Source organism: Homo sapiens, chromosome 12 (assembly GCF_000001405.40).
Source record: "Homo sapiens chromosome 12, GRCh38.p14 Primary Assembly".
Lineage (NCBI taxonomy): Eukaryota > Metazoa > Chordata > Mammalia > Primates > Hominidae > Homo > Homo sapiens.
Genome location: NC_000012.12, coordinates 25,170,811 through 25,188,233, shown reverse-complemented (window position 1 = coordinate 25,188,233; position 17,423 = coordinate 25,170,811). Strand labels below are relative to the sequence as shown.

At 35.2% G+C, this 17,423-nt stretch overlaps 1 protein-coding gene across 30 annotated transcripts in view; it reads left to right on the top strand.

Annotated features, from left to right (window-relative positions):
- The window catches only part of DNAI7 (dynein axonemal intermediate chain 7), an 88,114-nt gene that overhangs the window by 6,927 nt on the left and 63,764 nt on the right, over nt 1–17,423 (top strand). For 3 of the 30 annotated variants that reach the window (XM_047429075.1, XM_047429074.1, XM_047429077.1), the window contains exon 3: nt 4,508–4,617. The exons of 26 other annotated variants lie outside the window; for them this stretch is intronic. The gene's annotated coding sequence lies outside the window, so the exon portion shown is untranslated. Of the gene's footprint in view, nt 1–2,447; nt 2,486–4,507; nt 4,618–17,423 lie in introns of all 30 variants that reach the window. One more of the 30 variants, NM_001204102.3, reaches the window with a different exon arrangement.

Here is a 17,423-nt window from a genome sequence, read left to right as displayed (position 1 = left end):
TAACAATATTTTATTAATTATAGGATACTAATCTTTTTACATTTTAACATTACTGAAATTGAGATGTGTCTTATAATAGTATCTTACAATCATTGTAGTCCTGGATTGACATCCACTTCTTCAACAGAAGATGTTTGCTTCTATCTGTCAGTTGGGCTTATTACCAGTCTGGTACTACTTAAATTCTATGCTTGAGGGTTTTGGACCACACCAATGGTATGAGTCAGACTGCAAATCCACATGAACCGGCTTGTGGTTTAAATTCTCAGGAATTTTTTTTCTTCCTTCTACCAGTGTCAGAGTTGACATATGCAAGCCTTCTTTTTTTTTTGCTCTGCATTACTGTGTTGTGGGATTGTTTGTCTTTCCCTATATCCAGTTTTATACAGGTATCGCCTTTAACTGCCATCTTAGGCATTATTTCCTTTTTTGGGACATAATAAATACATCTTACATCTGATGACATCTTAGGTTCAATGGAGTAAGTATACCTTGGGGACCTTTTTGTTTTGGCGTATTGAAATTACCTCACTCTTTTTCATGGCTGCATCATATCTCATTGAAAGTATGCTACATGATTTTTATGTTGGCCCTATTTTTTGCTATCACAATCAAGGCAGGAATGAAGATCCTTATATATAAGTTCTTGCAAACATGGAAGAATATTTATTTCATTGATTTAGCAGTGTTCAAGGCATTAAGTGAACAGCAGCAAGACCAAGTTCCTGCCTTCATGAAGCTTACATTCAACTTGAGGGTGGGAAGTGAGACAGGAATATAAATAATATAATTTCAGGTAGCTTTTAATACATAGAAACTAAGAGGTCATGAAAAAATGTGGGGTAGGGCTGATGATGATGCTATTTCATATAATATGATTAAGGAAGTAAAATTTAAGAAGAGACCTGGATGAAGCAAGGGAGTAGGTTAGTAATTACCTGGGGGAATGAGTATATTAAGCAGGAGAAACAGACATAGTTTAGAATGACCTTGGTGAAATGCCAGTGTGGTTAGAACAGACAGTGAGGTAGAAAGTGAAAGATAAAAACACGGCATGGAGACCGTGGTTAATCAGGAGCCGGTTTGTAGTTCATGGCCAAGTAAGCCATGGTAAAGTATTTGGGTTTTATTGTGAGTGTGATGGGCAGCCTGGGAAAGTTGTAAACAGAAAAGTGGCATGATCTGATTTACATTTTTAAAAGATCACTTTGATTGCCATGTGGAAAATTCACTGTAGGGGGACACAAGGGTAAAAGTAGGGGTACCCTTTAGGAATCCATCACAGCAGTGTAGGTTAGAAGTCTTCAAACTGAGAAGTAAATCATACTCTGACAGGTGTACAAAGGTTTTCTAAGGATACAAGGACACAGTCTTATGGAAATCAATCTTCAGATGATTGACTTCCATATTTACCTTTTCCTGAGAAAATGTAGTCATACATTAAAAAAAAAACCCTGCCTTTTTACCATTGCATCCTCCTCTGTCACAATCACCCTTCTTACAAAGTAAAGCTTATCTGTTATCTACTCCCATTCTGTGATTCTTTGCCCTTGGGACTGGGATGTGAAACCTTTAGACAATTCGAAACATTGATGTTGGCAAAGCTAACATCAGACACTAAGGACTTCCTGTTTTTGTCTGCCTTACCTGTCTTTTTGGAAGTGGTGAAATGTGTCATTAGAAGTACTGAGATATTGTGAATTTATACACATGGTAGTGTGAAGTGGTGATCATTTTTGTTTAGTTACATTGCCCATGAGATTATTATCAAATTATGGTACCAAAGAGTGTATCAAGTTACATTGTGAGAGATTTTTTTGGTACTATCATTTGATAATAATGTTTTGGTACCAGACTACAAAGATAATGTAATTAATTTTTTAATGAAGAAAGATTAGTGTATTAGTAAAAATGTGAGTGTAATATTTTTACGCAGATTTCAAAGTTGCCTTTTGAAACTTCACGTAATTTAAATTAATATTGTTCATTGCAAAAGTTAGAAAATTGCGTAAGACTATAGAAAAGGTTATGATACCTGATGTACTGTTAAAAAACCCATCACTACATTTATATTAATATATTTTTATCAGAAACCACTGTACTTCACAGAATACATGAAATACAGAAAACAGTGATTAGACTATGAGAAGAATTGCCTTACAAATTGATGAATATATAGATGATTCCAGTTAGTCTCAGTTAATAATTTATGACTTTTCTTCCAATGAAGAAAATGGCATTATTAATACAAATTTGATGTTCAAATTACTGTTTAGGAATACAACTGTGAAGAGATTTTACAAAACTTTTAATACTTTATTTGAATTGATTGTATTTTATTTGATTGAAATCATGCTCAACTACCCCCAGGAATGGGACTGTAATGAATGGGCAAAAGGGGGGTGCTTATTGCTATAGTCTGTACTTTAAATTCTATTTTCATTTAGGAACACTGTCATCACAAACAGGCTTCAGTGGCCAAAGAGTGAGTCCTGGTTTTCATGGAACATTCAGTGCTGACACTAAAATATAAATGGTATTGAGTTCAGGACATTAAAATTGCATCTTTTAAAAACAATATATGAGGGAATTAAATCAATTTACATCTGGCTTATAATGAAAAATGAGATAGGTTGCCATGAACATGCATATCAACATATTTATTTGTACCAAAAAATGAAGTCAGACTGTCTGATAGAAAGTAAGTCTAATATGGCCATTTAGTTTAAGTTCGAAAACAGTTTTGCCAATTAGGTAAATGGTAGACATTTTTTATACTTCAAATGAGCTAAATCTGCAGCTTTAAGATTTTGGTGAAAGTGATATGATAAAAAAATTATCAGAAATAATATTTTGATCTTTCTGATTTCATTAATTTGAGGCTTAAGATTTTTGGGACTGCCATTTCTGCTAAAAACAATAAATAGTGCTCACTACAATGTATACAGATAGATCAAAGCTATCATCTTAAAAACATTTAAGAGGCAATAATACAGGAAGAAATTATCAGGAAAAAACCTGAGTGAAGACATAAACCAAAGAAGTAATGGAAGCACTACAACTGTTTTTGTTTTTTGTTTATTTTATTTTATTTTAGAGACAGGATCTTGCTGTGTCACCCAGGCTGGAGTACAGTGGTGTAATTACAGCTAACTGTAGCCTCAACCTCCCAGGCTCAAGTGATCCTCCCACCTCAGCCTCCTGAGACTACAACCATGTGCTACCATGCCTGGGAATTTCTTTTTCTTTCTTTTTTTTTTTTTTTTTATAGAGATGGGATCCCACTGTGTTGTCCAGGGTGGTCTCAAACTCCTGGGCTCAAGCAATTCTGCTTTGACCTCCCGAAGTGCTGGAATTGCAGGCATGAGTCACCATGCCCAGTCCAAAGCAATTTTTATCATGAGGGTATTTGCAGAGCTGGGCAGAACTTGAGCTTTGGTCTTCATAGCAAAAATGAAAGCCAGACAGTGGAATGATGTCTTCAATGTGCTGAAAGAAAATAGCTGCCAACTTAGAATTCTGTACCAGCTAAAATAAGTTTTCAAAAATAAAGGTGGAATAAAAACATTTTCTTACAAACCAAAACTGAGTTTGCCACCTGCAAAACAGATTATGTCTGTACAGTATAAAACAAAAACCATAATAAAAAACATGTGGGTTTAACAGTAATTAAACTAAGATACATGACAACAAACAACCCAGATGTTCATCAGTTGATTAATCAATAAACAAAATTTGGTATATCTATGCATTGGAATATTATTTGGGCATAAGAAGGAAGTACTGATGCATGATATAGCATGGATGAACCTCGAAAGCATGCTAAATGGAAGAAGCCAGTCACAAAAGACCACATTTTACATGATTACAGTTATATGAAGTGTCCAGAAGAGGCAAATCTACAGAGACAGAAAGTAGATTCATAGTTTCCATGAGCTAGGTATTTGGAAGAAGTGGAGAGTAACTACTAATGAGTATAAGATTTCTATTTCGGGGTGATGAAAAATGTTCTAAAATTGATTGTGGTGATGGTTACACAACTCTGTGAATATACTAAAAACCATTAAATTGTGCACTTTATATGGGTGAATTACATGGTATGTGAATTATATCTCAATAAAACTATTGTTAAAAACATGCATGATAATACTAATCCATAATTTGGTAGGGGAAGGACAGATTGAGTTAAGACATTCTAAAGTCCTTGGGAAAGAGGATACAGGTCTGGATATAGAAGGCATATTTGTTGACTTTCTGTAGTAGCCATTAAAATTACACAGTATATAACTTCTCAACTGGTAGAGAGAACATAGTGGAATAATAAAAAAAAATCAGTTGAAAAGTTACCAAGAAATAATACAGAATAACACTCAAAAGTAAGATAGTATATTTAAGCCCAAATATATCAGTAAATACATGGAATATAAATGGATCTATTACTCTTGTTAAAAGTGAAAGATTGTCAATAATAAAGAATAAAATCCAACAGTAATCTTCTTACAAACAGCCACCTTAAGAATAAAGATTCCAGCAATATGGGAGACTGAGGCAGAAGGATCGCTTGAGTCCATGGGTTTGAGACCAGCCTGGACAACATAGACCCCATCTCTACAAAAAGTAAAAAATTAAAAAAAAAAATTTAAATACAGAAAAGTTGGAAGTGAAATGATGGAAAAAGTCATACTATACAAATTACTAGAAAAACAAAAGCTTATATAGCTGTATTAATATTAGACACAATAGACTTTAAGACAAAAAGCACTTCTAGAAATAAAGAGGGACATTTTGTGGTGATCAGGATTTTTGTTTATTTGTTTTGTTTTGAGCATTGGTTTCAGCAGAAGCCCAAATCCCAGCATTACCCAATATACCCACGTACAGGTTTGTTACATGGGGATATTGGATGATGCTGGGATTTTGGCTTCTGGTGAAACCATTGCTCAAATAGTGAACTTAGTCCCAATACGTAGTTTTTCAACCCTTGTCCCCGCTCCCTCCCCTCTTTTAGAGTCCCCAGTGTCTATTGTTTCTACCCTTATGACCATGTGTACCCATTGTACTTATAAGTGAGAACATTTAGTATTTGATTTTCTGTTTCTGCTTTAATTCACTTAGGGTAATGGCCTCCAACTGTATCCATGTTGCTGCAAAGGACATAATTTCATTCTTTTTATGGCTGTGTAGTATGCTATGATGTATATGTACCTCATTTTCCTTCTTTCCTTCCTTTCTTTCTTTCTCTCCTTCTCTCCTTCCCTTCCTCCCTTCCTCCCTTCCTCCCTTCCTCCCTTCCTTTCATTCCTTTCTTTCCTTTCTTCTTTTCACTTCATTTCCTGGGCTGAAGTGCAGTGGCATGATCTTGGCTTACAGCGGGCTTGACTTCCTGAGCTCAAGCGATCCTCCCACCTCAGCCTCTCAGGTAGCTGGGACCACAGACGTGTGCCACCACATCTAGCTAATTAAAAAAATTTTTTTTAGAGATGAGATCATTCTATGTTGCCCAGGCTGGTCTTAAACTTTGGGGCTCAGGTGATCCTCTTACCAGGGCCTCCGAAAGCACTGAGATTACAGGCATGAGAGCCACCACATCTGGCTTGTGTGTGTGTGTGTGTGTGTGTGTGTGTGTGTAGACAGTCTCACTCTATCACTCTGGCTGCAGTGCTGTGGCACGATCACAGCTCACTGCAGCCTCGACCTCCCAGGCTCAAGCAATCCTCCCACCTCAGCCTGAGTAGCTGGGACTATAGGTGTGTGCTACCACACCCTACATTTTCTTTATCCAATCCACTGTTGATTAGGTTAATTAGGTTGATTCCATGATTTTGTTGTTGTGACTAGTACTACAATAAAATACTAGTACAGGTGTCTTTTTTTTTTTTTTTTTTTGAGATGAAGTTTCGCTCTTGTTGCCCAGGCTGGAGTGCAATGGTGCGATCTCGGCTCACTGCAACCTCCGCCCCCCAGGTTCAAGTGATTCTCCTGCCTCAGCCTCCCGAGTAGCTGGGATTACAGGCATGTACCACCATGCCCGGCTAATGTTGTATTTTTAGTAGAGATGGGGTTTCTCCGTGTTGGTCAGGCTGATCTCAACCTCCCAACCTCAGGTGATCTGCCCGCCTCGGCCTCCCAAAGTGCTGGAATTACAGGCGTGAGCCACCGCGCCCAGCCTACAGGTGTCTCTTTGAAAAAAAAAAAAAAAATTTCTTTTCTTTTCAGCAGATACCCAGTAGTGGGATTGCTGGGTTGAATGGTAGGTTTATTTTAAATTCTTTAATAAATCTTCATATTGTTTTCAATAGGGGTTGAACTAATTTACATTCATACCAACAGTTCCCTTTTTTCTGCATCCTCACCAACATGTCCCTTTTTTTAATTTTTTAATAGTAGACATTCTGACTAGTGTGAGATGATATCTCACTGTGGTTTTAATTGAAATTTATCTGATTAGTGATCTTGAGCATTTGTTCATGTGTGTTGCCACTTATATGTCCTCTTTTGAGAAGTATCTGTTCATGTCCTTTCCCCACTTTTTAATGGGGCTTTTTTTTTCTTATTAAGTTCCTTATCGATTCTGGGTATTTGTCCTTTGTCAGATGCATAGTTTGAAAATATTTTCTCCTGTTTTGTAGGTTGTCTGTTGACTGTGTTGTTTCTTTTGCTATGCAGAAGCTCTTTAGTTTAATTAAGTCCCATTCATCAATTTTTGTTTTTGTTGCAATTGCTTTTAAGGTCTTAGTTATAAATTATTTGCCTAGGCCAATGCCCAGAAGAGTTTTTCCTGGTTTTCTTTTAGGGTTTTTATAGTTTGAGGTCTTGGCTGGATGCAATAGTGCACACCTGTAATCCCAACACTTTGGGAGGCTGAAGCAGAAGGATTGCTTGAGGCCGGGAGTTCAAGACCAACCTGGGAAACATAGTGAGACCCCCCCACCTCTGCAAAAAATGAAAATAAAAAATTAGCCAGATGCAGTGGCATGCATCTGTAATTCTAGCTACTCCTGAGGCTGAGGTGGGAGAATTGCGTGAGCCCAGGAGTTTGAGATTACAGTAAGCTATGATTGCACCACTGCACTCCCATTCTTTCCTGAATGACAAAGCGAGACTCTGTCTCTTAAAAAAAATTATAGGCCGGGCACGATGGCTCATGCCTATAGTCCCAGCACTTTGGGAGGCCAAGGCAGGCGGATCATCTGAGGTCAGGAGTTCGAGATCAGCCTGCCCAACATGGCGAAACCCCGTGTCTACTAAAAATACAAAAAATTAGCCGATCGTGGTGGCAGGCGCCTGTAATCCCAGCTACTCAGGAGGCTGAAGCAGGAGAATCTCTTGAACCCGGGAGGCAGAGGTTGCAGTGAGCCGAGATTGCACCACACACTCCAGCCTGGGCGACAAGAGTGAAAAAAAAAATTATAGTTTGAGGTCTTATATTTAAGTCTTTAATCCATCTTGAGTTAATTTTTATATATGTTAAGAGTTAGGGGTCCAGTTTCATTCTTCTGCAAGTGGCTAGCCAGTTTTCCTAGCATCATTTATTGAACCCAGTGTCCTTTCCCCATTGTTTGTTTATTTTTGCTAACTTTGTTGAAGATCAGTTGGTTGTAGGTGTATGGCTTTATTTCTGGGTTCTCTATTGTGTTCCATTGATCTATTTTTATACCAATACCATGTTATTTTGGTTGCTACAGCCTGTAGTATAGTTTTGAAGTTTGGTAACGTGATGGCTCCAGCTTTCTTCTTTTTGCTTAGGATTGCCTTGGCTGTGTGGGCTCTTTTTTGGTTTCATATACATTTTAGAATTGTTTTTTCTAGTTCTGTGAAAAATAACGTTGGTAATTTGATAGGAATTGCATTGAATCTGTAGATTGCTTTGGGCAGTGTGATCATTTTAGTGATACTGATTCTTCTAATCCGTGAGCATGGATTATTTTTCCATTTGTTTGTGCCATCTGTGATTTCTTTCAGCAGTGTTTTGTAGTTCTCTTTGTAGAGATATTTCACCTCCTTGGTTAAATATATTTCTAGATATTTTATTTTTGTGTGCATGACTGTTGTAAATGGGATTGAGTTCTTGATTTGCTTCTCAGCTTAAACGTTGTTGGTGTGTAGAAATGCTACTTGTTTTTGCATGTTGTATCCTGAAACTTTACTGAAGTCGTTTATCAGGTCCAGGAGGTATTTGGAGGAATCTTTACCGTTTTCTAGGCATAGGATCATGTTGTCAGTGAACAAAGATAATTTGACTTTCTCTTTTCCTATTTGGATGCCTTTTATTGCTTTCTCTTGACTGATTGGTATGGCTAGGATTTCCAGTACTATTGAATAGGAATGATGAGAGTGGACACCCTTTTCATGTTCCAGTTCTTAGGGGGAATGCTTTCAGCTTTTGCCTATTCAGTATGATGTTGGCTGTGGGTTTGTCATACATAGATGGTTCTTACTAGTTTGAGATATGTTCATTTGATACCTAGTTTTTTGAGGGTTTTTTTTTTTAATCATGAAAGGATATTGGATTTTATCAAAAGGGTTTTCTGTGTCTATTGGGATGATCATATGGTTTTTGTTTTTAATTCTGCTTATGTGGTAAATCACATTTATTGATTTGTGTATGTTGAACCATCCTTGCATGATGATAAAGACTTGATTAGCCAAGGAAATCTAATTTTAAATTTGTGTATACCTACTTACAAAGCCTTGAAATATACAATGCACAAATTCAGGGAACTACAAGGAGAAATAGACACATCCACAAATAGACACATCCACAATCATAGTGGAAGATTTTCTCTTTCAATAATTAATAGAATAATGTTTAAAAAATCAGTAAGGATTTAGAAGATTGGAGCAACATGATAAACAAACCTAATGAATTAAACATATTTAGAACACCACACCAAACAAGTAGAGGATTCTAAGCACGCAAACATTTTCCCCCAAAATTGCTAGTATACTATGATACAAAACTATTCTCAAAGTTCAGTGCATGAAAACAATTCAGAGAATGTATCATAATGAATATTATATTGAAGGTAAAAATAATTCAGTAGCAAACAGGAAGGTACAATATGCTTGGAATTTTTAAAACATTCTAAAATGGGTCAAGAAGTAATATAATGGAAATTAGAAAATATTTTAAACTTATTGTTAAGGAAAATACTTAAAAATTTGTGGAATGTATGTAAAGCAATACTTAGAGGGAAATATGTAGACCTAAATATTTATATTAGAAGAAGAAAAAAGGCTAAAAATTAATGATCCTAGGTATCCTTCTCAAGAATTCAGAAAAAGAATAAAACCCAAAGGAGAAGGAAGGAAATAATAAGAACAAATATAGAAGGAAGGAGAAGAAAGGAAATAATAAGAACAAATATGGACATTAATAGAAAACACAGAATAGAGTGGGTCAGTAACCTCATATCCTTCAAGTCTTCACTTAAATGCCGCCTTCTCCATGAGGCCAATCCAAACCACTGTATTTAGAATTGTGATTTCGTCCCTTTCACAACTACACCAGCCATCTGGAGTCCCCCTACTTTCTTCCATATCACTTATCACTCCTTAAAATATTGTATAATTTATTTTAAATTTTAGTATATTGTTTTTGCCTTCCTGTTTACATTTGAATTGTAAGTGCAAGGATTTTTGTTTACTTTTATATCTCAAATAAGAGGCACATGTTAGCCTCTCAGTATTTATTAAATAAATGAACAAGTCACAGTAGATTTCTTTGAAAACTGATAAAATTGACAATTATCTGATATGTCAAGAAGAACAAAAGGCATAAATGATAAATATTAAGAATGAAAAGGGAGACATGACTTTAACAATAAATGACATTATTTGAGCAACTTTTTATGCCAATATATTAGAAAACTTAGATGAATTAGACAAATAGCCAGAAAAAAATTAAACTGTTTTCATGAAGAAGTAGAAAACCTGAATAGTCCTATAATCATTTAAGAAATTAAATCAGTGGTTATAAATATTCCCAGAAAGAAAATTCTAGGTCCATAAGTCTTTATATGCTAGTTTTTCATTCAGAGGTAAAGAAATAATTTCACACTTAATACAGATTCTTCTAGAGCATGACAAAAGGGGGAACACTCCTTAAGTCATTTTGAGTTAAATGGATAATCTGAAGATATTATGAGAAAGGAAAATGGAAGTGCATTCATGACACAAATACAAAAATCCTAAACAAAATGTTACCAGGCTCAATCTGGAAGATGATAATAAATCATGACACAATTCAGTTTATCCCAGGAAGGGAGAGTTGGTTTAATATGAGAAATTAAATAAATACAATTAGATTGAATTAGAAATGCATTTAATGCACTTTACCATTTGATAGGTTACAGCGCACTTTCTTAGTCTGATAAAGATGTCTGTATTTTTTAACACCTTTTAGATGAGCAAAAGTGCTGAAATTAGCAAATATTGACTTGGATAATAATTGTGGGAGTGTAAATTTGAAATAATGATTGTGGAGGTGTAAATTAGAATAACTACTTTGGACAGTTCATCTTTAGTAAAGTTGAAAATGTACGTACCCATCAGTTTTATTTCTAGGGACATACAACAGAAAACCCCTTGCAGACGGACACCAGGATAGATATATTCAAAGGTTTATAGCAGCATTAATGATAGTAAGAAACCAGAAACAATCCAATGTCTAGCAATAGAAAAAGGATAAATAAATCAATGGATTACTATTCAGCAGTGAAAATATACAGCCATAGCAATGTCCATCAACATGAATGAATTTTGCAAACCATAATGTATATCTAAAGAAGTAAATCACAAATGAGGGCAAATATTGTATTTTTCCACTTAGATATCTAGAGTAGTCAAACTCATATAGACAAAGTAGAATGGTGAGTGACAGGGCTAGGGGCAATGGGGAGCTATTGTTTAATGGTATACAGGGTTTCAGTTTGGGATGCTGAAAAAGTTCTGGAGGTGGATTGTGATGATTGTACATCAGTGTGCATGTGTTTAAAGCCACTGAATTGCACACTTGAAAATGGTTAAAATGACTGGGCAAGGTGGGTCACACCTGTAATCCCAGAACTTTGGGAGGCCAAGGCAGGTGAATCACTTGAGGTCAGGAGTTCAATACCAGCCTGGCCAACATGGAGAAACCCCACCTCTACTAAAAATACAAAAATTAGCCAGGCAGGGTGGTGGGCACCTGTAATCCCAGCTACTCAGGAGGTTGAGGCAGGAGAATTGCTTGAACCTGGGAGGTGGAGGTTGTAGTGAGCCGAGATCGCACCACTGCACTCCAACCTGGGTGACAGAGTGAGACTCCATCTCAAAAAAAAAAAAAAAAAAAGAAAATGGTTAAAATGGTAAATTTTATGTTATGTATACTTTGTCACAATTAAAAAAAGCAAATCACAATAATATACATAAAGTCATTAAATTTATGGAAAGTTCAAAAATCTATATTTTTCATATATATACGTTAGAAAACTATAAAGAAAAACAAGGAAATGATCACAAAAGTCAGAGATTATCTGTAGGGGTAATTTTTATTGTAAATCAGCATATAATTTTTGGCATAGGAGGTGAAGGAATTCAAAGAATTGCATGATGTTACTATAACCTATTCTGATTGATTTTTAAATATAAACCAGGTTTCTCTCTCACATATTTATAAAAATTAAAAAATAAAAATAGAATTAATCTGAATTTCTGTTTCATTCAGCACTAGCTAGCATTTATCCATGGATTATGAGCTAACCAGAAAAAAGAAAAAGCCCAACATTTCATCAAGAGATGTACATCCAGGAAAATTTTAGTTTTTATGTTTAACATTTAGTTATCAAAATTTATAATATGTTACTTTATTCAGTTGTGTACTGAAAATAAGATTAACTCAATCTAGAACAGAATTTTTAATACTTAGAGACAAAGGAAATAAATTTTTTAATTTAAATTTTTATTCATATTTTTATAACAAATATAAAAGGATCAACAAAAGTTTTTCAAGTATATTACATTAGGATAAGATTCTGTGAGGGAAGTGGCGTGGAAATATGAACTCAAATAGAAAACAGATTAACATTTTTATTTTAAAAAAGCTTGTTTATATTTTAAATTGGTCATTAAATCTCTGTGGTATGTAGATTCTATTGGATATATCCCTTTTTCTGAGATGGAGTCTCGCTCTGTCATCTAGGCTGGAGTGCAGTGGCATGATCTCGGCTCCCTGCAATCTCCACCTCCCAGGTTCAAGCAGTTCTCCTACCTCAGCCTCCCGAGTAGCTGGGATTATAGGTGCCTGCCACCATACCCGGCTAATTTTTTATATTTTTTAGTAGAGATGGGGTTTCACCATGTTGGCCAGGCTGGTCTCAAACTCCTGACCTCGTGATCTGCCCACCTCAGCCTCCCAAAGTGCTGGGATTACAGGTGTGAGCCACCACACCCAGCCTTCTATTGGATATATCTTAAGCAGTGATGGATATACTTCAAAGAGTACTGTGAAAGTTTTATTTTAAGGATCATATACTTGAAAGGACAATATTCACAGCTATTTAAACTCATGATAAAAAGTTTTCAGTGACACCTTAAAAATGTGTAGAGCCGGGCGCAGTGGCTCATGCCTGTAATCCCAGCACTTTGGGAAGCCAAGGTGGGTGGATCACTTGAGGTCAGGAGTTTGAGACCAGCCTGGCCAACATGGTAAAACCTCATCTCTACTAAAAATACAAAAAATTAGCCTGGAGTGGCGGCAGGCACCTGTAATCCTGCTGAGGCAGGAGAATCCCTTGAACCTGGGAGGCGGAGGTTTCACTGAGCCAAGATTGTGCCAGCCTGGCATGACAGAGCGAGAGTCCGTCTCAAAAAAAAGAAAAGTTTAAAAGCAAAACATATAGTTCATCCACTGCAATGGGAAGGAAGGCAGACAAAAATATAGATAGGCTCAAAGATTTGGTGTGTAAAGATTTTTCTCTTCTGAAAACTTCTATTTTTTCAGTGACATAAGAGGTAAAGTCAGCAGCTGAGAGTAGAGTGGAAGAGAGGATTTTGGAGGTTTGAAGTGAGAATGAAATAGTTGTGGGAATTCTGGACAGTGCTTAGAGTCTATTTTTTTAATTTATTTTTTAAATTTTATTTTTTCATAACTTATTGAGGTACAGGTGGTATTTGGTTACCTGAGTAAGTTCTTTAGTGGTGATTTGTGAGATTTTGGTTCACCCATCACCCGAGCAGTATACACTGCACCGTATTTGTAGTCTTCTATCCCTTGCCCTCCTTCCACTCTTCCCCACAAGTCCCCAAAGTTCATTGTGTCATTCTTATGCCTTTGTGTCCTCATAGCTTAGCTCCCACACATCAGTGAGAACATACAATATTTGGTTTTCCATTCCTGAGTTACATCACTTAGAATAATAGTCTCTAGTCTCATCCAGGTCACTGCAAATGCTGTTAATTCATTCCTTTTTATGGCCGTGTAGTATTCCATCATATATATATATGATATATATATTCCATATATATATGATATATATATTCCATATGTATGATATCTATATTCCATATATATATGATATATATATTCCATATATATGATATCTATATTCCATATATATGATATATATCCCATATATATGATATATATATCATATATATATCCCATATATATGATATATATCCCATATATATGATATATATATCATATATATATCCCATATATATGATATATATGATATATATATCCCATATATATGGGATATATGATATATATATCCCATATATATGATATATATGATATATATATCCCATATATATGATATATATGATATATATATCCCATATATCCCATATATATGATATATCCCATATATATGATATAACATATATATGGGATATATATATCATATATATATCATATATGATACAAATGCAAATGCAATAAAAACAAAGATAAATAGCTGGGACCTAATTAAAGAAATTTTGCATGGCAAAAGAAACAGTCAGCAGCGTAAACAGACAACCCACAACGTGAGAGAAAATCTTCACAATGTATACATCTGACAAAGGACTAATATCCAGAATCTGCAACAAACTCAAGCACATCAGTAAGAAAAAAACAAACCCATCAAAAAGTGGGCTAAGGACATGAATACACAATTCTCAAAAGAAGATATACAAATGGCCAATATATGATATATATATGATATATATATTCCATAAATATATGAGATATGTATTCCATGTATATGATATATGTATTCCATGTATATGATATATGTATTCCATATATATGATATATGTATTCCATATATATGATTATATATGATATATATATTCCATATATATGATGTGGTATATATATGAATGATGTGTATATATATATGATGTGGTATACATATGATGTATATATATATGATGTGGTATATATATGATGTATATATATGATGTGTGTGTATATATATGATGTGTGTATATATATGATTTGTGTGTGCATGTGTGTGTGTATATATATATATCACAGTTTATCTACTTGTTGATTGATGGGCATTTGGGTTGGTTCCACGATTTTGCAATTGTGAATTGTGCTGCTATAAACATGTGTGTGCAAGTGTCTTTTTTGAATAATACCTTCTTTTCCTCTGGTTAGATACCCAGTAGTGGGATTGCTGGATCAAATGATAGTTCTACTTTTATTTATTTAAGGAATCTCTACACTGTTTTCCATAGTGGCTGTACTAGTTTGCATTCCCACCTGCCTTCTGGAAGTTTTTCCTGTTCACCATATCCATGCCAACATTTAGTGTTTCTTTTTATTTTTTGATTATGGCCATTCTTGCAGGAGTAAAGTAGTATCACACTGTGGTTTTGATTTGCATTTCCCAGATCATTAGTGATACTGAGCATTTTTTCATATGTTTATTGGCCATTTGTATATCTTCTTTTGAGAATTGTGTATTCATGTCCTTAGCCCACTTTTTGATGGGTTTGTTTGTTTTTTTCTTACTGATGTGCTTGAGTTCGTTGCAGATTCTGGATATTAGTCCTTTGTCAGATGTATACATTGTGAAGATTTTCTCTCACGTTGTGGGTTGTCTGTTTACTCTGCTGACTGTTTCTTTTGCCATGCAAAAGGTCTTTAATTAGGTCCCAGCTATTTATCTTTGTTTTTATTGCATTTGCTTTTGTGTTCTTGGTCATGAAATCCTTGCCTAAGCCAATGTCTAGAACAGTTTTTCTAGTGTTATCATCTAGAATTTTTATAGTTTCAGGTCTTAGGTCTAAGCCCTTAATCCATCTTGTGTTGATTTTTGTATAAGGTGAGAGATGAGGATCCAGTTTCATTCTCCTACATGTAGCTAGCCAATTATCCCAGCACCATTTGTTGAAAAGGATGTCCTTTCCCCACTTTATGTTTTTGTTTGCTTTGTCGAAGATCAGTTAGTTGTAAGTATTTGGGTTTATTTCTGGGTTCTCTATTCTGTTCCATTGATCTATGAGCCTATTTTTATACCAGTACCACACTGTTTTGGTGACTATGGTCTTATAGTATAGTTTGAAATCAGCTAGTGTAATGCCTCCAGATTTGTTCTTTTTGCTTAGTCTTGCTTTGGCTATGTGGACTCTTTTTTGGTTCTGTATGAATTTTAGAATTGTTTTTTCTAATTCTGGGAAGAATGATGTTGGTATTCTGATGGGGATTGTATTGAATTTGTAGATTGCTTTTGGCAGTATGGTTATTTTCACAATATTGATTCTACCCATCCATGAACATGAGATGTGTTTCCATTTGTTTGTGTTGTCTGTGATTTCATTCAGCAGTGTTTTGTAGTTTTCCTTATAGAGGTCTGTCACCTCCTTGGTTAGGTATATTCCTAAGTATTTTATTTTATTTTTGCAGCTATTGTAAAAGGAGTTGAGCTCTTGATTTGATTCTCTGCTTGGTTGCTTTTGGTGTATAGAAGAACTACTGAGTTGTGTACATTAATCTTGTATCCTGAAACTGCTAAGTTCTTTTATCAATTCTAGGAGCTTTCTAGGGTTTTCAGGGTAAACTATCATATTGCCAGCAAACAGTGACAGTTCGAGTTCCTCTTTACCAATTTGGATGCCCTTTATTTCTTTCTCTTGTCTGATTGCTCTGCCTAGCACTTCCAGTACCATGTTGAAGAGGAGTGGTGAGAGTGGGCATCCTTGTCTTGTTCCAGTTCTCAGAGGGAATGCTTTCAACGTTTCTTTATTCAGTATTATGTTGGCTGTGGGTTTGTCATAGATGGCTGTTATTACATTAAGATATGTCCCTTTTATGCTGATTTTGCTGAGAGTTTTAATCATAAAGGGATGCTGGATTTTGTCAAATCTTTTTTCTGCATGTATTCAGATGATCATGTGATTTTTGTTTTTAATTCTGTTTATGTGTTGTATCACGTTTGCATATGTTAAACCATCCCTGCATCCCTGGTATGAAACCCAGCTGGTCATGGTGAATTATCTTTTTGATGTGTTGTTGAATTTGGTTAGCTAGTATTTTGTTAAGGATTTTAGCATCTATGTTCATCAAGGATATTGGTCTGTAGTTTTATTTTTTGGTTATGTCCTTTCCTGATTTTGGTATTAGGGTGATGCTGGCTTCATAGAATGAATTAGGGAGGGTTCCTTCTTTCTCTATCTTGTGGAATAGTGTCAATAGAATTGGTACCAATTCTTCTTTGAATGTCTTGTAGAATTCTGCTGTGAATCTGTGTGGTCCTGGACTTTTTTTTCTGGTAATTTTTAAATTACCATTTCAATCTCATTGCTTGTTATTGGTCTGTTTGGAGATCTAATTCTTGCTGATTTAAGGTAGGAGGGTTGTATTTTTCCAGGAGTTTATCCATCTCTTCTAGGTTTTCTAGTTTATGCGCATAAAGGTGTTCATAGTAGCCTTGAATGTCTTTTGTATTTCAGTGGCGTCAGTTGTAATATCTCCCATTTCATTTCTTAGTGAGATTATTTGGATTTTCTATCTTCTTTTCTTGGTTAATCTTATTAATGATCTATCAATTTTATTTATCTTTTCAAAGAACCAGCTTTTTGTTTCATTTATCTTTTGCATTTTTTTGATTCAATTTCATTTAATTCTGTTCTGATCTTGGTTATTTCCTTCCTTCTGCTGGGTTTGGGTTTGGTTTGCTCTTGTTTTTCTAGTTACTTGAGGTGTGACCTTAGATTGCCTGTTTGTGCTCTTTCAGATTTTTTGATGTAGGCATTTAGGGCTATGAACTTTCCCGTTAGCACCATCTTTGCTGTATCCCAGAGGTTTTGATAGGAAATTTCATTACTGTCATTCAGTTGGAAGAATTTTTCAATTTTCATCTTGATTTCGTTTTTGACCCAATGCTCATTCAGCAGGTTACTTAATTTCCATGTACTTGCATGGTTTTGAAGATTTCTTTTGGAGTTGA